The 23,995-nt window shown below is 41.1% G+C and overlaps 28 annotated features.

Moving 5' to 3' along the window:
- Nucleotides 302-999: an enhancer, noted in NCBI's record as "OCT4-NANOG-H3K27ac-H3K4me1 hESC enhancer chr4:49118401-49119098 (GRCh37/hg19 assembly coordinates)". NCBI's record gives its function as "activates a minimal SCP1, AML or CMV promoter by ChIP-STARR-seq in primed H9 embryonic stem cells {active_cell/tissue: H9 hESC(primed)}" and the evidence as "EXISTENCE:reporter gene assay evidence [ECO:0000049][PMID:30033119]".
- Nucleotides 1,000-1,696: an enhancer, noted in NCBI's record as "OCT4-NANOG-H3K27ac-H3K4me1 hESC enhancer chr4:49119099-49119795 (GRCh37/hg19 assembly coordinates)". NCBI's record gives its function as "activates a minimal SCP1, AML or CMV promoter by ChIP-STARR-seq in naive H9 embryonic stem cells {active_cell/tissue: H9 hESC(naive)}" and the evidence as "EXISTENCE:reporter gene assay evidence [ECO:0000049][PMID:30033119]".
- Nucleotides 1,697-2,393: an enhancer, noted in NCBI's record as "OCT4-NANOG-H3K27ac-H3K4me1 hESC enhancer chr4:49119796-49120492 (GRCh37/hg19 assembly coordinates)". NCBI's record gives its function as "activates a minimal SCP1, AML or CMV promoter by ChIP-STARR-seq in naive and primed H9 embryonic stem cells {active_cell/tissue: H9 hESC(naive and primed)}" and the evidence as "EXISTENCE:reporter gene assay evidence [ECO:0000049][PMID:30033119]".
- Nucleotides 2,394-3,090: an enhancer, noted in NCBI's record as "OCT4-NANOG-H3K27ac-H3K4me1 hESC enhancer chr4:49120493-49121189 (GRCh37/hg19 assembly coordinates)". NCBI's record gives its function as "activates a minimal SCP1, AML or CMV promoter by ChIP-STARR-seq in naive and primed H9 embryonic stem cells {active_cell/tissue: H9 hESC(naive and primed)}" and the evidence as "EXISTENCE:reporter gene assay evidence [ECO:0000049][PMID:30033119]".
- Nucleotides 3,091-3,788: an enhancer, noted in NCBI's record as "OCT4-NANOG-H3K27ac-H3K4me1 hESC enhancer chr4:49121190-49121887 (GRCh37/hg19 assembly coordinates)". NCBI's record gives its function as "activates a minimal SCP1, AML or CMV promoter by ChIP-STARR-seq in naive and primed H9 embryonic stem cells {active_cell/tissue: H9 hESC(naive and primed)}" and the evidence as "EXISTENCE:reporter gene assay evidence [ECO:0000049][PMID:30033119]".
- Nucleotides 3,789-4,485: an enhancer, noted in NCBI's record as "OCT4-NANOG-H3K27ac-H3K4me1 hESC enhancer chr4:49121888-49122584 (GRCh37/hg19 assembly coordinates)". NCBI's record gives its function as "activates a minimal SCP1, AML or CMV promoter by ChIP-STARR-seq in naive and primed H9 embryonic stem cells {active_cell/tissue: H9 hESC(naive and primed)}" and the evidence as "EXISTENCE:reporter gene assay evidence [ECO:0000049][PMID:30033119]".
- Nucleotides 4,486-5,182: an enhancer, noted in NCBI's record as "OCT4-NANOG-H3K27ac-H3K4me1 hESC enhancer chr4:49122585-49123281 (GRCh37/hg19 assembly coordinates)". NCBI's record gives its function as "activates a minimal SCP1, AML or CMV promoter by ChIP-STARR-seq in naive and primed H9 embryonic stem cells {active_cell/tissue: H9 hESC(naive and primed)}" and the evidence as "EXISTENCE:reporter gene assay evidence [ECO:0000049][PMID:30033119]".
- Nucleotides 5,183-5,878: an enhancer, noted in NCBI's record as "OCT4-NANOG-H3K27ac-H3K4me1 hESC enhancer chr4:49123282-49123977 (GRCh37/hg19 assembly coordinates)". NCBI's record gives its function as "activates a minimal SCP1, AML or CMV promoter by ChIP-STARR-seq in naive H9 embryonic stem cells {active_cell/tissue: H9 hESC(naive)}" and the evidence as "EXISTENCE:reporter gene assay evidence [ECO:0000049][PMID:30033119]".
- Nucleotides 5,879-6,576: an enhancer, noted in NCBI's record as "OCT4-NANOG-H3K27ac-H3K4me1 hESC enhancer chr4:49123978-49124675 (GRCh37/hg19 assembly coordinates)". NCBI's record gives its function as "activates a minimal SCP1, AML or CMV promoter by ChIP-STARR-seq in naive H9 embryonic stem cells {active_cell/tissue: H9 hESC(naive)}" and the evidence as "EXISTENCE:reporter gene assay evidence [ECO:0000049][PMID:30033119]".
- Nucleotides 6,577-7,273: an enhancer, noted in NCBI's record as "OCT4-NANOG-H3K27ac-H3K4me1 hESC enhancer chr4:49124676-49125372 (GRCh37/hg19 assembly coordinates)". NCBI's record gives its function as "activates a minimal SCP1, AML or CMV promoter by ChIP-STARR-seq in naive H9 embryonic stem cells {active_cell/tissue: H9 hESC(naive)}" and the evidence as "EXISTENCE:reporter gene assay evidence [ECO:0000049][PMID:30033119]".
- Nucleotides 7,274-7,971: an enhancer, noted in NCBI's record as "OCT4-NANOG-H3K27ac hESC enhancer chr4:49125373-49126070 (GRCh37/hg19 assembly coordinates)". NCBI's record gives its function as "activates a minimal SCP1, AML or CMV promoter by ChIP-STARR-seq in naive and primed H9 embryonic stem cells {active_cell/tissue: H9 hESC(naive and primed)}" and the evidence as "EXISTENCE:reporter gene assay evidence [ECO:0000049][PMID:30033119]".
- Nucleotides 7,972-8,667: an enhancer, noted in NCBI's record as "OCT4-NANOG-H3K27ac hESC enhancer chr4:49126071-49126766 (GRCh37/hg19 assembly coordinates)". NCBI's record gives its function as "activates a minimal SCP1, AML or CMV promoter by ChIP-STARR-seq in primed H9 embryonic stem cells {active_cell/tissue: H9 hESC(primed)}" and the evidence as "EXISTENCE:reporter gene assay evidence [ECO:0000049][PMID:30033119]".
- Nucleotides 8,668-9,365: an enhancer, noted in NCBI's record as "OCT4-NANOG-H3K27ac-H3K4me1 hESC enhancer chr4:49126767-49127464 (GRCh37/hg19 assembly coordinates)". NCBI's record gives its function as "activates a minimal SCP1, AML or CMV promoter by ChIP-STARR-seq in primed H9 embryonic stem cells {active_cell/tissue: H9 hESC(primed)}" and the evidence as "EXISTENCE:reporter gene assay evidence [ECO:0000049][PMID:30033119]".
- Nucleotides 9,366-10,061: an enhancer, noted in NCBI's record as "OCT4-NANOG-H3K27ac-H3K4me1 hESC enhancer chr4:49127465-49128160 (GRCh37/hg19 assembly coordinates)". NCBI's record gives its function as "activates a minimal SCP1, AML or CMV promoter by ChIP-STARR-seq in naive and primed H9 embryonic stem cells {active_cell/tissue: H9 hESC(naive and primed)}" and the evidence as "EXISTENCE:reporter gene assay evidence [ECO:0000049][PMID:30033119]".
- Nucleotides 10,062-10,758: an enhancer, noted in NCBI's record as "OCT4-NANOG hESC enhancer chr4:49128161-49128857 (GRCh37/hg19 assembly coordinates)". NCBI's record gives its function as "activates a minimal SCP1, AML or CMV promoter by ChIP-STARR-seq in naive and primed H9 embryonic stem cells {active_cell/tissue: H9 hESC(naive and primed)}" and the evidence as "EXISTENCE:reporter gene assay evidence [ECO:0000049][PMID:30033119]".
- Nucleotides 10,759-11,454: an enhancer, noted in NCBI's record as "OCT4-NANOG hESC enhancer chr4:49128858-49129553 (GRCh37/hg19 assembly coordinates)". NCBI's record gives its function as "activates a minimal SCP1, AML or CMV promoter by ChIP-STARR-seq in naive H9 embryonic stem cells {active_cell/tissue: H9 hESC(naive)}" and the evidence as "EXISTENCE:reporter gene assay evidence [ECO:0000049][PMID:30033119]".
- Nucleotides 13,548-14,243: an enhancer, noted in NCBI's record as "OCT4-NANOG-H3K27ac-H3K4me1 hESC enhancer chr4:49131647-49132342 (GRCh37/hg19 assembly coordinates)". NCBI's record gives its function as "activates a minimal SCP1, AML or CMV promoter by ChIP-STARR-seq in naive H9 embryonic stem cells {active_cell/tissue: H9 hESC(naive)}" and the evidence as "EXISTENCE:reporter gene assay evidence [ECO:0000049][PMID:30033119]".
- Nucleotides 14,244-14,941: an enhancer, noted in NCBI's record as "OCT4-NANOG-H3K27ac-H3K4me1 hESC enhancer chr4:49132343-49133040 (GRCh37/hg19 assembly coordinates)". NCBI's record gives its function as "activates a minimal SCP1, AML or CMV promoter by ChIP-STARR-seq in naive H9 embryonic stem cells {active_cell/tissue: H9 hESC(naive)}" and the evidence as "EXISTENCE:reporter gene assay evidence [ECO:0000049][PMID:30033119]".
- Nucleotides 15,638-16,335: an enhancer, noted in NCBI's record as "OCT4-NANOG hESC enhancer chr4:49133737-49134434 (GRCh37/hg19 assembly coordinates)". NCBI's record gives its function as "activates a minimal SCP1, AML or CMV promoter by ChIP-STARR-seq in naive H9 embryonic stem cells {active_cell/tissue: H9 hESC(naive)}" and the evidence as "EXISTENCE:reporter gene assay evidence [ECO:0000049][PMID:30033119]".
- Nucleotides 16,336-17,031: an enhancer, noted in NCBI's record as "OCT4-NANOG hESC enhancer chr4:49134435-49135130 (GRCh37/hg19 assembly coordinates)". NCBI's record gives its function as "activates a minimal SCP1, AML or CMV promoter by ChIP-STARR-seq in naive H9 embryonic stem cells {active_cell/tissue: H9 hESC(naive)}" and the evidence as "EXISTENCE:reporter gene assay evidence [ECO:0000049][PMID:30033119]".
- Nucleotides 17,032-17,729: an enhancer, noted in NCBI's record as "OCT4-NANOG hESC enhancer chr4:49135131-49135828 (GRCh37/hg19 assembly coordinates)". NCBI's record gives its function as "activates a minimal SCP1, AML or CMV promoter by ChIP-STARR-seq in naive and primed H9 embryonic stem cells {active_cell/tissue: H9 hESC(naive and primed)}" and the evidence as "EXISTENCE:reporter gene assay evidence [ECO:0000049][PMID:30033119]".
- Nucleotides 17,730-18,425: an enhancer, noted in NCBI's record as "OCT4-NANOG-H3K27ac-H3K4me1 hESC enhancer chr4:49135829-49136524 (GRCh37/hg19 assembly coordinates)". NCBI's record gives its function as "activates a minimal SCP1, AML or CMV promoter by ChIP-STARR-seq in naive and primed H9 embryonic stem cells {active_cell/tissue: H9 hESC(naive and primed)}" and the evidence as "EXISTENCE:reporter gene assay evidence [ECO:0000049][PMID:30033119]".
- Nucleotides 18,426-19,123: an enhancer, noted in NCBI's record as "OCT4-NANOG-H3K27ac-H3K4me1 hESC enhancer chr4:49136525-49137222 (GRCh37/hg19 assembly coordinates)". NCBI's record gives its function as "activates a minimal SCP1, AML or CMV promoter by ChIP-STARR-seq in primed H9 embryonic stem cells {active_cell/tissue: H9 hESC(primed)}" and the evidence as "EXISTENCE:reporter gene assay evidence [ECO:0000049][PMID:30033119]".
- Nucleotides 19,124-19,819: an enhancer, noted in NCBI's record as "OCT4-NANOG-H3K27ac-H3K4me1 hESC enhancer chr4:49137223-49137918 (GRCh37/hg19 assembly coordinates)". NCBI's record gives its function as "activates a minimal SCP1, AML or CMV promoter by ChIP-STARR-seq in primed H9 embryonic stem cells {active_cell/tissue: H9 hESC(primed)}" and the evidence as "EXISTENCE:reporter gene assay evidence [ECO:0000049][PMID:30033119]".
- Nucleotides 21,214-21,910: an enhancer, noted in NCBI's record as "OCT4-NANOG-H3K27ac-H3K4me1 hESC enhancer chr4:49139313-49140009 (GRCh37/hg19 assembly coordinates)". NCBI's record gives its function as "activates a minimal SCP1, AML or CMV promoter by ChIP-STARR-seq in naive H9 embryonic stem cells {active_cell/tissue: H9 hESC(naive)}" and the evidence as "EXISTENCE:reporter gene assay evidence [ECO:0000049][PMID:30033119]".
- Nucleotides 21,911-22,606: an enhancer, noted in NCBI's record as "OCT4-NANOG-H3K27ac-H3K4me1 hESC enhancer chr4:49140010-49140705 (GRCh37/hg19 assembly coordinates)". NCBI's record gives its function as "activates a minimal SCP1, AML or CMV promoter by ChIP-STARR-seq in naive H9 embryonic stem cells {active_cell/tissue: H9 hESC(naive)}" and the evidence as "EXISTENCE:reporter gene assay evidence [ECO:0000049][PMID:30033119]".
- Nucleotides 22,667-23,241: an enhancer, noted in NCBI's record as "OCT4-NANOG-H3K27ac-H3K4me1 hESC enhancer chr4:49140766-49141340 (GRCh37/hg19 assembly coordinates)". NCBI's record gives its function as "activates a minimal SCP1, AML or CMV promoter by ChIP-STARR-seq in naive H9 embryonic stem cells {active_cell/tissue: H9 hESC(naive)}" and the evidence as "EXISTENCE:reporter gene assay evidence [ECO:0000049][PMID:30033119]".
- Nucleotides 23,242-23,815: an enhancer, noted in NCBI's record as "OCT4-NANOG-H3K27ac-H3K4me1 hESC enhancer chr4:49141341-49141914 (GRCh37/hg19 assembly coordinates)". NCBI's record gives its function as "activates a minimal SCP1, AML or CMV promoter by ChIP-STARR-seq in naive H9 embryonic stem cells {active_cell/tissue: H9 hESC(naive)}" and the evidence as "EXISTENCE:reporter gene assay evidence [ECO:0000049][PMID:30033119]".

Consider the following 23,995-nt stretch of genomic DNA (forward strand, 5'->3'; position numbering starts at 1 on the left):
ATTCCATTCCATTCCATTAAATTCCATTCCATTCCATTCCACTCGGGTAGATTCCATTCCATTTCGTTCCATTGCATTCCATTCCATTCCATTAAATTCCATTCCATTCCATTCCACTCGGGTAGATTCCATTCCATTCCATTCCATTCCATTAGTTTCTAATCTGGTTGATTCTAATCCATTCCACTATATTCAAGTGCTTTCCATTCCATGCCATTCCACTCGGATTGTTTCCATTTTGTTGTATTCCATTCCATTCCATTCCATTGCATTCCATTCCATTGCATTCCATTCCACTTGGTTGTTTCCATTCCTTTCCATTAGTTTCCATTCCATTCCATTCCTTTCCGTTCCATTCCATTCTATTCCTTTCCACTCAGGGTGATTCCATTCCATTCCATTCCAATGCATTCCATTCCAGTTGATACCATTGCATTGCGTTGTTTCCATTCCATTCCAATCCATTCCATTCCATTCCATTCCATTCCATTCCATTCCATTTCATTCCACTCGATTTTATTCATTGCCATTCCATTCCATTCCATTCCATTCCATTCCATTTCATTCCTCTCGGGTTGATTCCATTCCATTCCATGCCCCTTTATTCCATTCCATTCCATTCCATTCCATTCCATTCCATTCCATTCCATTCCATTCCATTCCATAACATTCCACCAAAGTTGATTGCATGCTATTCCATTCCATACCATTCCATTCCATTCCATTCCATTCCATTCCATTCCATTCCATTCCATTCCTTTCCACTTGGGTTGATTCCATTCCATTCAATTCTGTTCCGTTCCATTCCGTTCCATTCCATTCCATTCCATTCCATTCCATTCCATTCCATTCCATTCCATTTCATTCCATTGCATTCCACTCGGTTTGATTCCATTCCATTCCATTCCATTCCATTCCATTCCATACACTTCGGGTTGATTCCTTTCCATTCCATTCCATTCCATACAATTCCACTCCATTCCGTTCCATTCCATTCAGGTTGATTCTGTTCCATTCCATGTCCTTTTATTCCATTCCATTCCATTCCATTCCATTCCATTCCATTCCATACCATTCCACAAAAGTTGATTGCATGTTATTCCATTCCATTCCATTCCATTCCATTCCATTCCATTCCTTTCCACTCAGTTTGATTCCATTCTATTCAATTCCGTTCTGTTCTGTTCCGTTCCATTCCATTCCATTCCATTTCATTCCATTGCATTGCACTCGAGTTGATTCCATTCCTTTCCATTCTATTCCATTCCATTCTATTCCATACCCTTCGGGTTGATTCCTTTCCATTCCATTAAATATCATTCCACTCCATTCCGCTCCATTCCATTCGGGTTGATTCCGTTCCATTCCATGCCCTTTTATTCCATTCCATTCCATTCCATTCCATTCCATTCCATTCCGTTCCATTCCATTCCGTTCCATTCCATACCCTTCAGGTTGATTCCTTTCCATTCTATTCCATTCCATACCATTCCACTCCATTCTATTCCATTCCATTTGGGTTGATTGCATTCCATTCCGTTCCGTTCCATTCCATTGCATACCATTCCACTAGGGTTGATTCCATACCATTCCATTCCATTCCATTCCATTCCATTCCATTCCATTCCATTCCACTCGTGTTGATTCCATTCCATTCCATTCCAATGCATTCCATTCCAGTTGATACCATTGAATTGCATTGTTTCCATTCCGTTCCATTCCATTCCATTCCATTCCATTCAATTCCATTCCATTCCAGTTGATACCATTGAATTGCATTGTTTCCATTCCGTTCCATTCCATTCCATTCCATTTCATTCAATTCCATTCCTTTCCACTCGGTTTGATTCATTTCCATTCCATTGCATTCCATTCCATTCCATTCCATACCATTCCACCAAAGTTGATTGCATGCTATTCCATTCCATTCCGTTCCATTCCATTCAATTCCATTCCTTTCCACTTGGGTTGATTCCATTCCATTCAATTCCGTTCCGTTCTGTCCCGTTCCATTCCATTCCATTTCATTACATTTCATTCCATTGCATTCCACTAGGGTTAATTCCATTCCATTCCTTTCCATTCCATTCCATTCCATTCCCTTCGGGTTAATTCCTTTCCATTCCATTCCATTCCATACCATTCCGTTCCATTCCATTCGGGTTGATTTGGTTCTTTCCATGCCCTTTTATTCCATTCTATTCCATTCCATTCCATTCCATTCCATACCATTCCACCAAAGTTGATTGCATGTTGTTCCATTCCATTCCATTCCATTCCATTCCATTCCATTCCATTCCATTCCTTTCCACTCGGGTTCATTCCATTCCATTCAATTCCGTTCCGTTCCTTTCTGTTCCGTTCCATTCCATTCCATTTCATTCCATTGCATTCCACTCGGGATGATTCCATTCCATTCCATTCCATTCCATTCCATTCCATTCCATTCCATTCCATTCCATTCCCTTCGAGTTGATTCCTTTCCATTCCATTCCATTCCATTCCATTCCACTCCATTCCATTCCATTCCATTCCACTCCATTCCATTCCATTCCATTCCACTCCATTCCATTACATTCCATTCCACTCAGGTTAATTCCGTTCCATTCCATTCCAATCCATTCCATTCCATTCAATTCCATTGGGGTCCATTCCATTCCATTCCATTCCGTTCCGTTCCGTTCCATTCCATTCAATTCCATTCCATTGCATTCCATACCTTTCCATTCTATTCTATTCCATTCCATTCCATTCCATTCCATTCCATGCCATTCCATTCCATTTGACTCAGGTTGATTCCGTTCCATTCCATTCCATTCCATTCCATTCCATTCCATTCCATTCCATTCCAGTTGATTCCATTGCATTCCATTCCATTCCATTCCATTCCGTTCCATTCCATTCCATTCCATTCCATTCCATTCCATTCCTTTCCACTCGGGTTGATTCCATTCCATTCCATTCCTTTCCATTCCATTCCATTCCGTTCCACTCGGCTTGATTCCATTCCATTCCATTCCATTTTTTCCAATCCACTCGGGTTGATTCCATTCTATTCCATTCCATTCCAGTTGATTCCATTCCATTCCATTCCATTCCATTCCATTCCATTCCATTCCATTCAGGTTGATTCAGTTCCTTTCCATTCCATTCCATTTCATTCCATTCCAGTTGATTCCATTGCGTTCCATTCCATTCAAATGCATTCCATTCCATTCCATTCCATTCCATTCCATTCCATTCCATTCCATTCCATTCCATTCGGGTTGATTCCATTCCATTCAATTCCATTCCATTCCACTCCATTCCATTACATTTCATTGCACTCTGGTTGATTCCATTCCATTCCATTCCAATCCATTGCATTCCGTTCCATTGCATTCGGGTTCATTCCATTCCATTCCGTTCCGTTCCATTCCATTCCATTCCATTCCAATCCATTCCATTGCATTCCATTCGTGTTGATTCCATTGCATTCCATTCCATTCCACTCCATTCCATTCCATTTCATTCCATTCCAGTTGATTCCATTCCTTTCCATTCCATTCCATTCCATTCCATTCTGTTACATTCTACTCGGGTTGATTCCATTCCATTCCATTTCATTCCATTCGATTTCATTCCACTGGTGTTTATTCCATTCCACTCCATTCCATTCCATTCCATTCGGGTTTATTCCATTTCTTTCCATTCCATTGCATTCCATTCCTTTCCATTCTATTCCTTTCCATTCCATTCCATTTGTGTTGATTCCATTCCATTCCATCCCATTCCATTCCATTCCATTCCATTCTATTGCATTCCATTCCATTCCATTCCACTCGTGTTGATTCCCTTCCATTCCATTCCATTCCATTCCATTCCATTCCATTCCATTCCACTTGGGTTGATTCCATTCCATTCCTTTCCATTGCATTCCATTCCATTGCATTCCATTCCATTCCATTCCATTTCATTCCATTCTATTCCATTCCGTTCCATTCCATTCGTGTTGATGCCATTCCAATCCATACCATTCCATTCCATTCCATTCCGTTCCGTTCCATTCCTTTCGTGTTGATTCCATTCCATTCCATTCCACTCCATTCCAATCCATTACATTCCACTCGGGTTGAATCCATTCCTTTCCATTCCAATCCATTCCATTCCTTTCCAATCCATTCCATTCCATTCAATTCCACCTGGATTCAATCTATTCTTTCCATTCCATTCCGTTCTGTTCCATTGCAGTCCATTGCATTAGATACCATTCCATTCCACTCGGGATGATTCCTTTCAATTCCATTATATTCTGTTCAATTCCATTCCACTCAGGTGGATTCCATTCCATTCCATTCCATTCCATTCCATTCCATTCCATTCCATTCCATTCCACTCGGTTTGATTCCATTCCGTTCCTTTCCATTTCATTCCATTCCATTCCATTCCATTCCATTCCATTCCAATCCATTCCGTTCCACTCCACTCCGGTTGATTCCATTCCATTCCATTCCATTCCATTCCATTCCATTCCATTCCATTCCATTCCATCCCATTCGGGTTGATTCCATTCTATTCTCTTCCTTTCCATTCCATTCCATTCCGTTCCATTCCATTCGGGTTGATTCTATACCATTCCATTCCATTCTATTCCATTCCATTCCATTCCATTCCATTCCATTCCATTCCACTTCTTTCCATTCCATTCCACTCCATTACATTACATTCAATTCAACCGAGATTGATTCTATTCCATTCCATTCCAGTTGATTCCATTGGATTCAATTCTGTTCCATTCCATTCCATTCCACTCGGGTTGATTCCATTCCGTTCCTTTCCATTCCATTCCTTTCCGTTCCATTCCATTCGTGTTGATTCCATTCCATTCCACTCCAATCCATTCCATTCCATTCCAATCCATTCCATTCCATTCAATTCCACTCGCATTCAATCTATTCCATTCCATTTCATTCCGTTCTGTTCCATTCCATTCTATTGCTTTCCATACCATTCCATTCCACTCGGGATGATTCCATTCCATTCCATTATATTCCGTTCCATTCCATTCCACTCGGGTTGATTCCATTCCATTCCATTCCATTCCATTCCATTCCATTCCATTCCATTCCACTCGGTTTGTTTCCATTCCATTCCTTTCCATTTCATTCTAATCCATTCCATTCCATTCCATTCTATTCCATTCCATTCCACTCCATTCCATTCCATTCCTCTCCGGTTATTCCATTCCATTCCATTCCATTCCACTCGGGTTGTTTCCATTCCATTCCATTCCATTTTATTCCGTTCCGTTCCATTACATTACATTCTATACCATTCCACTCGGGTTGATTCCATACCATTCTGTTCCATTCCATTCCGTTCCATTCTATTCCATTAAATTCCATTCCATTCCATTCCACTTGGGTAGATTCCATTCCATTCCATTCCATTCCATTCCATTCCATTCCATTCCATTCCATTAGTTTCTAATCGGGTGATTCCAATCCATTCCATTATATTCAAGTCCTTTCCATTCCATGCCATTCCACTCGGGTTGTTTCCATTTTGTTGTATTCCATTCCATTCCATTCCATTCCATTCCATTCCATTCCATTCCATTCCATTCTATTAGTTTCTAATCGGGTGATTCCAATCCATTCCATGATATTCAAGTCCTTTCCATTCCATGCCATTCCACTCGGGTTGTTTCCATTTTGTTGTATTCCATTCCATTCCATTCCATTCCATTCCATTCCATTCCATTCCATTCCATTCCATTCCATTGCATTCCATTCCACTCTGGTTGTTTCCATTCCGTTCCATTAGTTTCCATTCCATTCCATTCCTTTCGATTCCATTCCATTCCATTCCATTCCATTCCATTCCATTCCATTCCATTCCTTTCCACTCAGGGTGATTCAATTCCATTCCATTCCAATGCATTCCATTCCAGCTGATACCATTGCATTGCATTGTTTCCATTCCATTCCTTTCTATTCCATTACATTACATTCCACTCGGTTTGATTCATTTCCATTCCATTCAATTCCATTCCATTCCATTCGTCTCGGGTTGATTCCATTCCATTCCATGCCCTTTTATTCCATCCCATTCCACTCCATTCCATTCCATTCCATTCCATTCCATTCCATTCCATACCATTCCAACACAGTTGATTGCATGCTATTCCATTCCATTCTATTCCATTCCATTCCATTCCACTCCATTCCATTCCATTCCATTCCATTCCATTCCATTCCATTCCATTCCATTCCATTCCACTTGGGTTGATTCCATTCCATTCAATTCCATTCCGTTCCGTTCCGTTCCATTCCATTCCATTCTGTTCCATTCCATTTCATTCCATTGCATTCCACTCAGGTTTATTCCATTCCATTCCATTCCATTCCATTCCATTCCATTCCATTCCATACCCTTCGGGTTGATTCCTTCCCATTCCATTCCATTCCATACCATTCCACTCCATTCCGTTCCATTCCATTCGGGTTGATTCTGTTCCATTCCATGCCCTTTTGTTCCATTCCATTCCATTCCATTCCATACCATTCCACCAAAGTTGATTGTATGTTATTCCATTCCATTCCATTCCATTCCTTTCCATTCCATTCCATTCCATTCCATTCCATTCCATTCCATTCCATTCCATTCCATTCCACTCGGGTTGATTCCATTCCATTCAATTCCGTTCCGTTCCGTTCCGTTCCATTCCATTCCATTCCATTTCATTCCATTGCATTCCACTCGGGTTGATTCCATTCCTTTCCATTCCATTCCATTCCATTCCATTCCATTCCATTCCATTCCATACCCTTCGGGTTGATTCCTTTCCATTCCATTCCATTCCATACCATTCCACTCTATTCCGCTCCATTCCATTTGGGTTGATTCCATTCCATTCCATGCCCTTTTATTCCATTCCTTTCCACTCCATTCCATTCCATACCATTCCACCAAAATTGATTGCATGTTATTCCATTCCATTCCATTCCATTCCTTTCCACTCGGGTTGATTCCATTCCATTCAATTCCGTTCCGTTCCGTTCCATTCCATTCCATTTCATTCCATTGCATTCCACTCGGGTTGATTCCATTCCATTCCATTCCATTCCATTCCATTCCATTCCATTCCATTCCATTCCATACCCTTCAGGTTGATTCCTTTCCATTCCATTCCATTCCATGCCATTCCACTCCATTCCGCTCCATTCCATTCGGGTTGATTCCGTTCCATTCCATGCCCTTTTATTCCATTCCATTCCATTCCATTCCATTCCATTCCATTCCATTCCATTCCATTCCATTCCATTCCACTCGGGTTGTTTCCATTCCATTCCTTTCCATTTCATTCTATTCCATTCCATTCCATTCCATTCCATTCCATTCCATTCCATTCCATTCCATTCCATTCTATTTCATTCCATTCCACTCCATTCCATTCCATTCCTCTCTGGTTATTCCATTCCATTCCATTCCATTCCACTCGAGTTGTTTCCATTCCATTCCATTCCATTTTATTCCATTCCATTCCATTCCACTCAGGTAGATTCCATTCCATTGCATTCCATTCCATTCCGTTCCGTTCCATTCCATTCCATTCCATTCCATTCCATTCCATTCCATTAAATTCCATTCCATTCCATTCCACTCGGGTAGATTCCATTCCATTCCATTTCGTTAGTTTCTAATCGGGTTGATTCCAATCCATTCCATTCTATTCAAGTCCTTTCCATTCCATGCCATTCCACTCGGGTCGTTTCCCTTCAGTTGTATTCCATTCCATTCCATTCCATTCCATTCCATTCCATTCCATTCCATTCCATTCCATTCCATTCCTTTCCATTCCATTCCATTGCATTCCATTCCATTCGGGTGGTTTCCATTCCGTTCCATTAGTTTCCATTCCATTCCATTCGTTTCCATTCCATTCCATTCCATTCCTTTCCACTCAGGGTGATTCCATTCCATTCCATTCCAATGCATTCCATTCCAGTTGATACCATTGCATTGCATTGTTTCCGTGCCATTCCATTCCATTCCATTCCATTCCATTCCATTCCATTCCACTCGGGTTGTTTCCATTGCATTCCTTTCCATTTCATTCCATTCCATTCCATTCCATTCCATTCTATTCCATTCGATTCCACTCCATTCCATTCCATTCCTCTCCGGTTATTCCATTCCATTGCATTCCATTCCACTCGGGTTGTTTCCATTCCATTCGATTCCATTTTATTCCATTCCATTCCGTTCCATTACATTCCGTTCTATACCATTCCACTCAGGTTGATTCCATACCAATCTATTCCATTCCACTCCAATAAATTCCATTCCATTCCATTCCACTCGGGTAGATTCCATTATATTCCATTCCATTCCGTTCCACTGCATTCCATTCCATTCCATTCCATTCCATTCCATTCCATTCCATTCCATTCCATTCCATTAAATTCCATTCCATTCCATTCCACTCGGGTAGATTCCATTCCATTCCATTCCATTCCATTAGTTTCTAATCGGGTTGATTCCAATCCATTCCATTATATTCAAGTCCTTTCCATTCCATGCCATTCCACTCGGGTTGTTTCCATTTTGTTGTATTCCATTCCATTCCATTCCATTCCATTCCATTCCATTCCATTGCATTCCATTCCATTGCATTCCATTCCATTGCATTGCATTCCATTCCATTGTATTCCATTCCACTCGGGTTGTTTCCATTCCTTTCCATTAGTTTCCATTCCATTCCATTCCTTTCCATTCCATTCCATTCTATTCCTTTCCACTCAGGGTGATTCCATTCCATTCCATTCCAATGCATTCCATTCCAGTTGATACCATTGCATTGCGTTGTTTCCATTCCATTCCAATCCATTCCATTCCATTCCATTCCATTCCATTCCACTCCGTTTTATTCATTGCCATTCCATTCCATTCCATTTCATTCCTCTCGGGTTGATTCCATTCCATTCCACGCCCCTTTATTCCATTCCATTCCATTCCATTCCATTCCATTCCATTCCACACCATTCCACCAAAGTTGATTGCATGCTATTCCATTCCATAGCATTCCATTCTATTCCATTCCATTCCATTCCATTCCATTCCATTCCATTCCATTCCATTCCTTTCCACTTGGGTTGATTCCATTCCATTCAATTCCGTTCCGTTCCGTTCCATTCCATTCCATTCCATTCCATTTCATTCCATTGTTTTCCACTCGGGTTGATTCCATTCCATTCCATTCCATTCCATTCCATACACTTCGGGTTGATTCGTTTCCATTCCATTCCATTCCATACAATTCCACTCCATTCCGTTCCATTCCATTCGGGTTGATTCTGTTCCATTCCATGCCCTTTTATTCCATTCCATTCCATTCCATTCCATTCCATACCATTCCACCAAAGTTGATTGCATGTTATTCCATTCCATTCCATTCCATTCCATTCCATTCCATTCCATTCCATACCATTCCACCGAAGTTGATTGCATGTTATTCCATTCCATTCCATTCCATTCCATTCCATTCCATTCCATTCCATTCCACTCGAGTTGATTCCATTCTATTCAATTCCGTTCTGTTCCGTTCCATTCCATTCCATTCCATTCCATTTCATTCCATTGCATTCCACTCGAGTTCATTCCATTCCTTTCCATTCCATTCCATTCCATTCAATTCCATACCGTTCGGGTTGATTCCTTTCCATTCCATTAAATATCATTCCACTCCATTCCGCTCCATTCCATTCGGGTTGATTCCGTTCCATTCCATGCCCTTTTATTCCATTCCATTCCATTCCATTCCATTCCATTCCATTCCATTCCATACCATTCCACCAAAGTTGATTGCATGTTATTCCATTCCATTCCATTTCATTCCATTCAATTCCATTCCATTCCATTCCTTTCCACTCGGGTTGATTCCATTACATTCAATTCCGTTCCATTCCATTCCGTTCCATTCCGTTCCATTGCATTGCATTTCATTCCATTGCATTCCACTCGGGTTGATTCCATACCATTCCATTCCATTCCATTCCATTCCATTCCATTCCATACCCTTCGGGTTGATTCCTTTCCATTCCATTCTATTCCATACCATTCCACTCCATTCCATTCCATTCGGGTTGATTACATTCCATTCCGTTCCGTTCCATTCCATTCCATACCATTCCACTAGGGTTGATTCCATACCATTCCATTTCATTGCATTCCATTCCATTCCATTCGACTCGGGTTGATTCCATTCCATTCCATTCCATTCCAATGCATTCCATTCCAGTTGATACCATTGAATTGCATTGTTTCCATTCCATTCCATTCCACTTGATTTGATTCATTTCCATTCCATTCCATTCCATTCCATTCCATTCCATTCCATTCCATACCATTCCACCAAATTTGATTGCATGCTATTCCATTCCATTCCGTTCCATTCCTTTCCACTTGGGTTGATTCCATTCCATTCAATTCCGTTCCGTTCTGTCCCGTTCCGTGCCATTCCATTTCATTACATTTCATTCCATTGCATTCCACTCGGGTTGATTCCATTCCATTCCATTCCATTCCATTCCATTCCATTCCATTCCATTCCATTCCATTCCATTCCCTTCGGATTGATTCCTTTCCATTCCATTCCATTCCATACCAATCCACTCCATTCCGTTCCATTCCATTCGGGTTGATTTGGTTCCATTCCATGCCCTTTTATTCCATTCTATTCCATTCCATTCCATTCCATTCCATTCCATTCCATTCCATTCCATACCATTCTACCAAAGTTGATTGCATGTTATTCCATTCCATTCCATTCCATTCCATTCCATTCCATTCCATTCCATTCCATTCCATTCCACTCGGGTTGATTCCATTCCTTTCAATTCCGTTCCATTCCTTTCCATTCCATTCCATTTCATTCCATTGTATTCCACTCGGGTTGATTCCATTCCTTTCCATTCCATTCCATTCCATTCCATTCCATTCCATTCCATTCCATTCCATTCCATTGCATTCCATTCCATTCCATACCCTTCGGGTTGATTCCTTTCCATTTCATTACATTCCATACCATTCCACTCCATTCTGTTCCATTCCATTCGGGTTGACTCTGTTCCATTCCATGCCCTTTTATTCCATTCCATTCCATTCCATTCCATACCATTCCACCAAAGTTGACTGCATGTTATTCCATTCCACTCCATTCCATTCCATTCCATTCCATTCCATTCCATTCCATTCCATTCCATTCCATTCCTTTCCACTCGGGTTCATTCCATTCAATTCAATTCCGTTCCGTTCCTCTCTGTTCCGTTCCATTCCATTCCATTTCATTCCATTGCATTCCACTCGGGATGATTCCATTCCATTCCATTCCATTCCATTCCATTCCATTCCATTCCCTTCGAGTTGATTCCTTTCCATTCCATTCCATTCCATACCATACCACTCCATTCCCTTCTATTCTATTCGGGTTGATTCCGTTCCATTCCTTGCACTTTTATTCCATTCCATTCCATTCCATTCCGTTCCATTCCATTCCATACCATTCCACCAAAGTTGATTGCATGTTATTCCATTCCATTCTATTCCATTCCATTCCATTCCCTTCCATTCCTTTTCCACTCGGGTTGATTCCATTCCATTCAATTCCGTTCCGTTCCGTTCCATTCCATTCCATTCCATTCCATACCCTTCGGGTTGATTCCCTTCCATTCCATGTCATTCCATATCATTCCACTCCATTCCGCTCCATTCCATTCTGGTTGATTCCATTCCATTCCATGCCCTTTCATTCCATTCCATTCCATTCCATTCCATTCCATTCCATTCCATACCATTCCACCAAAGTTGATTGCATATTATTCCATTCCATTCCATACCATTCCATTCCACTCGGTTTGTTTCCATTCCATTCCTTTCCATTTCATTCTAATCCATTCCATTCCATTCCATTCTATTCCATTCCATTCCACTCCATTCCATTCCATTCCTCTCCGGTTATTCCATTCCATTCCATTCCATTCCACTCGGGTTGTTTCCATTCCATTCCATTCCATTTTATTCCGTTCCATTCCATTACATTACATTCTATACCATTCCACTCGGGTTGATTCCATACCATTCTGTTCCATTCCATTCCATTCCATTCCATTCCATTCCATTCCATTCCATTCCATTCCATACCATTCCACCAAAGTTGATTGCATGTTATTCCATTCCATTCCATACCATTCCTTTCCACTCAGGGTGATTCAATTCCTTTCCATTCCAATGCATTCCATTCCAGCTGATACCATTGCATTGCATTGTTTCCATTCCATTCCTTTCTATTCCATTCCATTACATTCCACTCGGTTTGATTCATTTCCATTCCATTCAATTCCATTCCATTCCATTCCATTCCATTCCATTCGTCTCGGGTTGATTCCATTCCATTCCATGCCCTTTTATTCCATTCCATTCCATTCCATTCCATTCCATTCCATTCCATTCCATTCCATACCATTCCTACAAAGTTGATTGCATGCTATTCCATTCCATTCTATTCCATTCCATTCCATTCCACTCCATTCCATTCCATTCCATTCCATTCCACTTGGGTTGATTCCATTCCATTCAATTCCATTCCGTTCCGTTCCGTTCCATTCCATTCCATTCCATTCTGTTCCATTCCATTTCTTTCCATTGCATTCCACTCAGGTTTATTCCATTCCATTCCATTCCATTCCATTCCATTCCATTCCATTCCATTCCATTAGTTTCTAATCGGGTGATTCCAATCCATTCCATTATATTCAAGTCCTTTCCATTCCATGCCATTCCACTCGGGTTGTTTCCATTTTGTTGTATTCCATTCCATTCCATTCCATTCCATTCCATTCCATTCCATTCCATTCCATTCTATTAGTTTCTAATCGGGTGATTCCAATCCATTCCATGATATTCAAGTCCTTTCCATTCCATGCCATTCCACTCGGGTTGTTTCCATTTTGTTGTATTCCATTCCATTCCATTCCATTCCATTCCATTCCATTCCATTCCATTCCATTCCATTCCATTGCATTCCATTCCACTCTGGTTGTTTCCATTCCGTTCCATTAGTTTCCATTCCATTCCATTCCTTTCGATTCCATTCCATTCCATTCCATTCCATTCCATTCCATTCCATTCCTTTCCACTCAGGGTGATTCAATTCCATTCCATTCCAATGCATTCCATTCCAGCTGATACCATTGCATTGCATTGTTTCCATTCCATTCCTTTCTATTCCATTACATTACATTCCACTCGGTTTGATTCATTTCCATTCCATTCAATTCCATTCCATTCCATTCGTCTCGGGTTGATTCCATTCCATTCCATTCCATGCCCTTTTATTCCATCCCATTCCACTCCATTCCATTCCATTCCATTCCATTCCATTCCATTCCATACCATTCCAACACAGTTGATTGCATGCTATTCCATTCCATTCTATTCCATTCCATTCCATTCCACTCCATTCCATTCCATTCCATTCCATTCCATTCCATTCCATTCCATTCCATTCCATTCCACTTGGGTTGATTCCATTCCATTCAATTCCATTCCGTTCCGTTCCGTTCCATTCCATTCCATTCTGTTCCATTCCATTTCATTCCATTGCATTCCACTCAGGTTTATTCCATTCCATTCCATTCCATTCCATTCCATTCCATTCCATTCCATACCCTTCGGGTTGATTCCTTCCCATTCCATTCCATTCCATACCATTCCACTCCATTCCGTTCCATTCCATTCGGGTTGATTCTGTTCCATTCCATGCCCTTTTGTTCCATTCCATTCCATTCCATTCCATACCATTCCACCAAAGTTGATTGTATGTTATTCCATTCCATTCCATTCCATTCCTTTCCATTCCATTCCATTCCATTCCATTCCATTCCATTCCATTCCATTCCACTCGGGTTGATTCCATTCCATTCAATTCCGTTCCGTTCCGTTCCGTTCCATTCCATTCCATTCCATTTCATTCCATTGCATTCCACTCGGGTTGATTCCATTCCTTTCCATTCCATTCCATTCCATTCCATTCCATTCCATTCCATTCCATTCCATTCCATACCCTTCGGGTTGATTCCTTTCCATTCCATTCCATTCCATACCATTCCACTCTATTCCGCTCCATTCCATTTGTGTTGATTCCATTCCATTCCATGCCCTTTTATTCCATTCCTTTCCACTCCATTCCATTCCATACCATTCCACCAAAATTGATTGCATGTTATTCCATTCCATTCCATTCCATTCCTTTCCACTCGGGTTGATTCCATTCCATTCAATTCCGTTCCGTTCCGTTCCATTCCATTCCATTTCATTCCATTGCATTCCACTCGGGTTGATTCCATTCCATTCCATTCCATTCCATTCCATTCCATTCCATTCCATACCCTTCAGGTTGATTCCTTTCCATTCCATTCCATTCCATGCCATTCCACTCCATTCCGCTCCATTCCATTCGGGTTGATTCCGTTCCATTCCATGCCCTTTTATTCCATTCCATTCCATTCCATTCCATTCCATTCCATTCCATTCCATTCCACTCGGGTTGTTTCCATTCCATTCCTTTCCATTTCATTCTATTCCATTCCATTCCATTCCATTCCATTCCATTCCATTCCATTCCATTCTATTTCATTCCATTCCACTCCATTCCATTCCATTCCTCTCTGGTTATTCCATTCCATTCCATTCCATTCCACTCGAGTTGTTTCCATTCCATTCCATTCCATTTTATTCCATTCCATTCCATTCCACTCAGGTAGATTCCATTCCATTGCATTCCATTCCATTCCGTTCCGTTCCATTCCATTCCATTCCATTCCATTGCATTCCACTGGGGTTGATTCCATTCCGTTCCATTCCATTCCATTCCATTCCATTCCATTCCATTCCATTCCATACCCTTCGGGTTGATTCCTTTCCATTCCATTCCATTCTATACCATTCCACTTCATTCCGTTCCATTCCATTCGGGTTGATTCTGTTCCATTCCATGCCCTTTTATTCCATTCCATTCCATTCCATACCATTCCAAAAAGTTGATTGCATGTTATTCCATTCCATTCCATTCCATTCCTTTCCACTCGGGTTGATTCCACTCCATTCAATTCCGTTCCATTCCGTTCCGTTTCTTTCCGTTCCATTCCATTGCGTTTCATTCCATTGCATTCCACTAGGGTTGATTCCATTCCTTTGCATTCCATTCAATTCCATTCCATACCCTTCGGTTTGATTCCTTTCCATTCCATTCCATTCCATACCATTCCACTCCATTCCGCTCCATTCCATTCTGTTTGATTCCGTTCCATTCCATGCCCTTTTATTCCATTCCAATCCATTCCATTCCATACCATTCCACCAAAGTTGATTGCATGTTCCATTCCATTCCATTCCATTCCACTCGGGTAGATTCCATTCCATTCCATTTCGTTAGTTTCTAATCGGGTTGATTCCAATCCATTCCATTCTATTCAAGTCCTTTCCATTCCATGCCATTCCACTCGGGTTGTTTCCCTTTTGTTGTATTCCATTCCATTCCATTCCATTCCATTCCATTCCATTCCATTCCATTCCATTCCTTTCCATTCCATTCCATTGCATTCCATTCCACTCGGGTTGTTTCCATTCCGTTCCATTAGTTTCCATTCCATTCCATTCGTTTCCATTCCATTCCATTCCATTCCTTTCCACTCAGGGTGATTCCATTCCATTCCATTCCAATGCATTCCATTCCAGTTGATACCATTGCATTGCATTGTTTCCGTGCCATTCCATTCCATTCCATTCCATTCCATTCCATTCCATTCCACTCGGGTTGTTTCCATTGCATTCCTTTCCATTTCATTCCATTCCATTCCATTCCATTCCATTCTATTCCATTCGATTCCACTCCATTCCATTCCATTCCTCTCCGGTTATTCCATTCCATTGCATTCCATTCCACTCGGGTTGTTTCCATTCCATTCGATTCCATTTTATTCCATTCCATTCCGTTCCATTACATTCCGTTCTATACCATTCCACTCAGGTTGATTCCATACCAATCTATTCCATTCCACTCCAATAAATTCCATTCCATTCCATTCCACTCGGGTAGATTCCATTATATTCCATTCCATTCCGTTCCACTGCATTCCATTCCATTCCATTCCATTCCATTCCATTCCATTCCATTCCATTCCATTAAATTCCATTCCATTCCATTCCACTCGGGTAGATTCCATTCCATTCCATTCCATTCCATTAGTTTCTAATCGGGTTGATTCCAATCCATTCCATTATATTCAAGTCCTTTCCATTCCATGCCATTCCACTCGGGTTGTTTCCATTTTGTTGTATTCCATTCCATTCCATTCCATTCCATTCCATTCCATTCCATTGCATTCCATTCCATTGCATTCCATTCCATTCCATTGCATTCCATTCCATTGTATTCCATTCCACTCGGGTTGTTTCCATTCCTTTCCATTAGTTTCCATTCCATTCCATTCCTTTCCATTCCATTCCATTCTATTCCTTTCCACTCAGGGTGATTCCATTCCATTCCATTCCAATGCATTCCATTCCAGTTGATACCATTGCATTGCGTTGTTTCCATTCCATTCCAATCCATTCCATTCCATTCCATTCCATTCCATTCCACTCCGTTTTATTCATTGCCATTCCATTCCATTCCATTTCATTCCTCTCGGGTTGATTCCATTCCATTCCACGCCCCTTTATTCCATTCCATTCCATTCCATTCCATTCCATTCCATTCCATTCCATTCCACACCATTCCACCAAAGTTGATTGCATGCTATTCCATTCCATAGCATTCCATTCTATTCCATTCCATTCCATTCCATTCCATTCCATTCCATTCCATTCCATTCCATTCCTTTCCACTTGGGTTGATTCCATTCCATTCAATTCCGTTCCGTTCCGTTCCATTCCATTCCATTCCATTCCATTTCATTCCATTGTTTTCCACTCGGGTTGATTCCATTCCATTCCATTCCATTCCATTCCATACACTTCGGGTTGATTCGTTTCCATTCCATTCCATTCCATACAATTCCACTCCATTCCGTTCCATTCCATTCGGGTTGATTCTGTTCCATTCCATGCCCTTTTATTCCATTCCATTCCATTCCATTCCATTCCATACCATTCCACCAAAGTTGATTGCATGTTATTCCATTCCATTCCATTCCATTCCATTCCATTCCATTCCATTCCATACCATTCCACCGAAGTTGATTGCATGTTATTCCATTCCATTCCATTCCATTCCATTCCATTCCATTCCATTCCATTCCACTCGAGTTGATTCCATTCTATTCAATTCCGTTCTGTTCCGTTCCATTCCATTCCATTCCATTCCATTTCATTCCATTGCATTCCACTCGAGTTCATTCCATTCCTTTCCATTCCATTCCATTCCATTCAATTCCATACCGTTCGGGTTGATTCCTTTCCATTCCATTAAATATCATTCCACTCCATTCCGCTCCATTCCATTCGGGTTGATTCCGTTCCATTCCATGCCCTTTTATTCCATTCCATTCCATTCCATTCCATTCCATTCCATTCCATTCCATTCCATTCCATACCATTCCACCAAAGTTGATTGCATGTTATTCCATTCCATTCCATTTCATTCCATTCAATTCCATTCCATTCCATTCCTTTCCACTCGGGTTGATTCCATTACATTCAATTCCGTTCCATTCCATTCCGTTCCATTCCGTTCCATTGCATTGCATTTCATTCCATTGCATTCCACTCGGGTTGATTCCATACCATTCCATTCCATTCCATTCCATTCCATTCCATTCCATACCCTTCGGGTTGATTCCTTTCCATTCCATTCTATTCCATACCATTCCACTCCATTCCATTCCATTCGGGTTGATTACATTCCATTCCGTTCCGTTCCATTCCATTCCATACCATTCCACTAGGGTTGATTCCATACCATTCCATTTCATTGCATTCCATTCCATTCCATTCGACTCGGGTTGATTCCATTCCATTCCATTCCAATGCATTCCATTCCAGTTGATACCATTGAATTGCATTGTTTCCATTCCATTCCATTAAATTCCATTCCATTCCATTCCACTTGATTTGATTCATTTCCATTCCATTCCATTCCATTCCATTCCATTCCATTCCATTCCATTCCATACCATTCCACCAAATTTGATTGCATGCTATTCCATTCCATTCCGTTCCATTCCTTTCCACTTGGGTTGATTCCATTCCATTCAATTCCGTTCCGTTCTGTCCCGTTCCGTGCCATTCCATTTCATTACATTTCATTCCATTGCATTCCACTCGGGTTGATTCCATTCCATTCCATTCCATTCCATTCCATTCCATTCCATTCCATTCCATTCCATTTCATTCCCTTCGGATTGATTCCTTTCCATTCCATTCCATTCCATACCAATCCACTCCATTCCGTTCCATTCCATTCGGGTTGATTTGGTTCCATTCCATGCCCTTTTATTCCATTCTATTCAATTCCATTCCATTCCATTCCATTCCATTCCATTCCATTCCATACCATTCTACCAAAGTTGATTGCATGTTATTCCATTCCATTCCATTCCATTCCATTCCATTCCATTCCATTCCATTCCATTCCATTCCACTCGGGTTGATTCCATTCCTTTCAATTCCGTTCCATTCCTTTCCATTCCATTCCATTTCATTCCATTGTATTCCACTCGGGTTGATTCCATTCCTTTCCATTCCATTCCATTCCATTCCATTCCATTCCATTCCATTCCATTCCATTCCATTGCATTCCATTCCATTCCATACCCTTCGGGTTGATTCCTTTCCATTTCATTACATTCCATACCATTCCACTCCATTCTGTTCCATTCCATTCGGGTTGACTCTGTTCCATTCCATGCCCTTTTATTCCATTCCATTCCATTCCATTCCATACCATTCCACCAAAGTTGACTGCATGTTATTCCATTCCACTGCATTCCATTCCATTCCATTCCATTCCATTCCATTCCATTCCTTTCCACTCGGGTTCATTCCATTCAATTCAATTCCGTTCCGTTCCTCTCTGTTCCGTTCCATTCCATTCCATTTCATTCCATTGCATTCCACTCGGGATGATTCCATTCCATTCCATTCCATTCCATTCCATTCCATTCCATTCCATTCCATTCCCTTCGAGTTGATTCCTTTCCATTCCATTCCATTCCATACCATACCACTCCATTCCCTTCTATTCTATTCGGGTTGATTCCGTTCCATTCCTTGCACTTTTATTCCATTCCATTCCATTCCATTCCGTTCCATTCCATTCCATACCATTCCACCAAAGTTGATTGCATGTTATTCCATTCCATTCTATTCCATTCCATTCCATTCCCTTCCATTCCTTTTCCACTCGGGTTGATTCCATTCCATTCAATTCCGTTCCGTTCCGTTCCATTCCATTCCATTCCATTCCATACCCTTCGGGTTGATTCCCTTCCATTCCATGTCATTCCATATCATTCCACTCCATTCCGCTCCATTCCATTCTGGTTGATTCCATTCCATTCCATGCCCTTTCATTCCATTCCATTCCATTCCATTCCATTCCATTCCATTCCATTCCATACCATTCCACCAAAGTTGATTGCATATTATTCCATTCCATTCCATACCATTCCATTCCACTCGGTTTGTTTCCATTCCATTCCTTTCCATTTCATTCTAATCCATTCCATTCCATTCCATTCTATTCCATTCCATTCCACTCCATTCCATTCCATTCCTCTCCGGTTATTCCATTCCATTCCATTCCATTCCACTCGGGTTGTTTCCATTCCATTCCATTCCATTTTATTCCGTTCCATTCCATTACATTACATTCTATACCATTCCACTCGGGTTGATTCCATACCATTCTGTTCCATTCCATTCCATTCCATTCCATTCCATTCCATTCCATTCCGTTCCATTCCATTCCATTAAATTCCATTCCATTCCATTCCACTTGGGTAGATTCCATTCCATTCCATTCCATTCCATTCCATTCCATTCCATTCCATTCCATTCCATTAGTTTCTAATCGGGTGATTCCAATCCATTCCATTATATTCAAGTCCTTTCCATTCCATGCCATTCCACTCGGGTTGTTTCCATTTTATTGTATTCCATTCCATTCCATTCCATTCCATTCCTTTCCACTCAGGGTGATTCAATTCCTTTCCATTCCAATGCATTCCATTCCAGCTGATACCATTGCATTGCATTGTTTCCATTCCATTCCTTTCTATTCCATTCCATTACATTCCACTCGGTTTGATTCATTTCCATTCCATTCAATTCCATTCCATTCCATTCCATTCCATTCCATTCCATTCGTCTCGGGTTGATTCCATTCCATTCCATGCCCTTTTATTCCATTCCATTCCATTCCATTCCATTCCATTCCATTCCATTCCATTCCATTCCATACCATTCCTACAAAGTTGATTGCATGCTATTCCATTCCATTCTATTCCATTCCATTCCATTCCACTCCATTCCATTCCATTCCATTCCATTCCACTTGGGTTGATTCCATTCCATTCAATTCCATTCCGTTCCGTTCCGTTCCATTCCATTCCATTCCATTCTGTTCCATTCCATTTCTTTCCATTGCATTCCACTCAGGTTTATTCCATTCCATTCCATTCCATTCCATTCCATTCCATTCCATTCCATTCCATTCCATTCCATTCCATACCCTTCGGGTTGATTCCTTCCCATTCCATTCCATTCCATACCATTCCACTCCATTCCGTTCCATTCCATTCGGGTTGATTCTGTTCCATTCCATGCCCTTTTGTTCCATTCCATTCCATTCCATTCCATACCATTCCACCAAAGTTGATTGTATGTTATTCCATTCCATTCCATTCCATTCCTTTCCATTCCATTCCATTCCATTCCATTCCATTCCATTCCATTCCATTCCATTCCATTCCACTCGGGTTGATTCCATTCCATTCAATTCCGTTCCGTTCCGTTCCGTTCCATTCCATTCCATTCCATTTCATTCCATTGCATTCCACTCGGGTTGATTCCATTCCTTTCCATTCCATTCCATTCCATTCCATTCCATTCCATTCCACTCGGGTTGATTCCATTCCATTCCATTCCATTCCATTCCATTCCATTCCATTCCATTCCACTCCATTCCATTCCACTCCTCTCCGGTTATTCCATTCCATTCCACTCGGGTTGTTTCCATTCCATTCCATTCCATTTTATTCCATTCCATTCCGTTTCATTACATTCCATTCTATACCATTCCACTTGGGTTGATTCCATACCATTCTATTCCATTCCATTCCAGTAAATTCCATTCCATTCCATTCCACTCGGGTAGATTCCATTCCATTCCATTCCATTCCATTCCATTCCATTCCATTCCATTAGTTTCTAATCGGGTTGATTCCAATCCATTCCATTATATTCAAATCCTTTCCATTCCATGCCATTCCACTCGGTTTGTTTCCATTTTGTTGTATTCCATTCCATTCCATCCCATTCCATTCCATTCCATTTCATTCCATTCCACTCGGGTTGTTTCCATTCCGTTCCATTAGTTTCCATTCCATTCCTTTCCATTCCATTCCACTCATGGTGATTCCTTTCCTTTCCATTCTAATTCATTCCATTCCAGTTGATACCATTGCATTGCATTGTTTCCATTCCATTCCATTCCATTCCATTCCATTCCATTCCATTCCATTCCACTCGGTTTGATTCATTTCCATTCCATTCCTTTCCATTCCTCTCGTGTTGATTCCATTCCATTCCATGCCCTTTTATTCCATTCCATTCCATTCCATTCCATTCCATTCCATTCCATTCCATTCCATTCCATACCTTTACACCAAAGTTGATTGCATGCTATTCCATTCCATTCCATTCCATTCCATTCCATTCCGTTCTGTTCCGTTCCGTTCCGTTCCATTCCATTCCATTCCATTCCATTGCATTCCACTGGGGTTGATTCCATTCCATTCCATTCCATTCCATTCCATTCCATTCCATTCCATTGCATTCCACTGGGGTTGATTCCATTCCATTCCATTCCATTCCATTCCATTCCATTCCATTCCATTCCATATCTTTCCACCAAAGTTGATTGCATGCTATTCCATTCCATTCCATTCCATTCCATTCCATTCCATTCCATTCCGTTCCTTTCCTCTTGGGTTGATTCCATTCCATTCAATTCCGTTCCATTCCGTTCCGTTCCGTTCCATTCCATTCCATTCCATTGCATTCCACTGGGGTTGATTCCATTCCGTTCCATTCCATTCCATTCCATTCCATTCCATTCCATTCCATTCCATACCCTTCGGGTTGATTCCTTTCCATTCCATTCCATTCTATACCATTCCACTTCATTCCGTTCCATTCCATTCGGGTTGATTCTGTTCCATTCCATGCCCTTTTATTCCATTCCATTCCATTCCATACCATTCCAAAAAGTTGATTGCATGTTATTCCATTCCATTCCATTCCATTCCTTTCCACTCGGGTTGATTCCACTCCATTCAATTCCGTTCCATTCCGTTCCGTTTCTTTCCGTTCCATTCCATTGCGTTTCATTCCATTGCATTCCACTAGGGTTGATTCCATTCCTTTGCATTCCATTCAATTCCATTCCATACCCTTCGGTTTGATTCCTTTCCATTCCATTCCATTCCATACCATTCCACTCCATTCCGCTCCATTCCATTCTGTTTGATTCCGTTCCATTCCATGCCCTTTTATTCCATTCCAATCCATTCCATTCCATACCATTCCACCAAAGTTGATTGCATGTTCCATTCCATTCCATTCCATTCCTTTCCATTCCATTCCATTCCATTCCATTCCATTCCATTCCATTCCATTCCATTCCATTCCATTCCATTCCTTTCCACTCGGGTTGTTTCCATTCCATTCAATTCCATTCCGTTCCGTTCCGTTCCATTCCCTTCCATTTCATTCCATTGCATTCCACTCGGGTTGATTCCATTCCTTTCCATTCCATTCCATTCCATATCATTCCACTCCATTCCGCTCCATTCTATTCGGGTTGATTCCGTTCTATTCCATCCCCCTTTATTCCATTCCATTCCATTCTATTCCATTCCATTCCATACCATTCCACCAAAGTTGATTGCATGTTATTCCATTCCATTCCATTCCATTTCATTCAATTCTATTCCATTCCATTCCTTTCCACTCGGGTTGATTCCATTCCATTCCATTCTGTTCCGTTCCATTCCATTCCATTCCATTCCATTTCATTCCATTGCATTCCACTCGGGTTGATTTCATTCCATTCCATTCCATTCCATTCCATTCCATTCCATTCCATTCCATTCCCTTCACGTTGATTCCTTTCCATTCCATTCCATTCCATACCATTCCACTCCATTCCATTCCATTCCATTCGGGTTGATTCCATTCCATTCCGGTCCGTTCCATTCCATTCCATACCATTCCACTAGGGTTGATTCCATGCCATTCCATTCCATTGCATTCCATTCCATTCCATTCCACTCGGGTTGATTCCATTCCATTCCATTCCATTCCATTCCATTCTATTCCATTCCATTCCATTCCACTCGGGTTGATTCCATTCCATTCCATTCCATTCCATTCCATTCCATTCCATTCCACTCCATTCCATTCCATTCCTCTCCGGTTATTCCATTCCATTCCACTCGGGTTGTTTCCATTCCATTCCATTCCATTTTATTCCATTCCATTCCGTTTCATTACATTCCATTCTATACCATTCCACTCGGGTTGATTCCATACCATTCTATTCCATTCCATTCCAGTAAATTCCATTCCATTCCATTCCACTCGGGTAGATTCCATTCCATTCCATTCCATTCCATTCCATTCCATTCCATTCCATTCCATTAGTTTCTAATCGGGTTGATTCCAATCCATT

This window comes from Homo sapiens, chromosome 4 (genome assembly GCF_000001405.40).
Source record: "Homo sapiens chromosome 4, GRCh38.p14 Primary Assembly".
Lineage (NCBI taxonomy): Eukaryota > Metazoa > Chordata > Mammalia > Primates > Hominidae > Homo > Homo sapiens.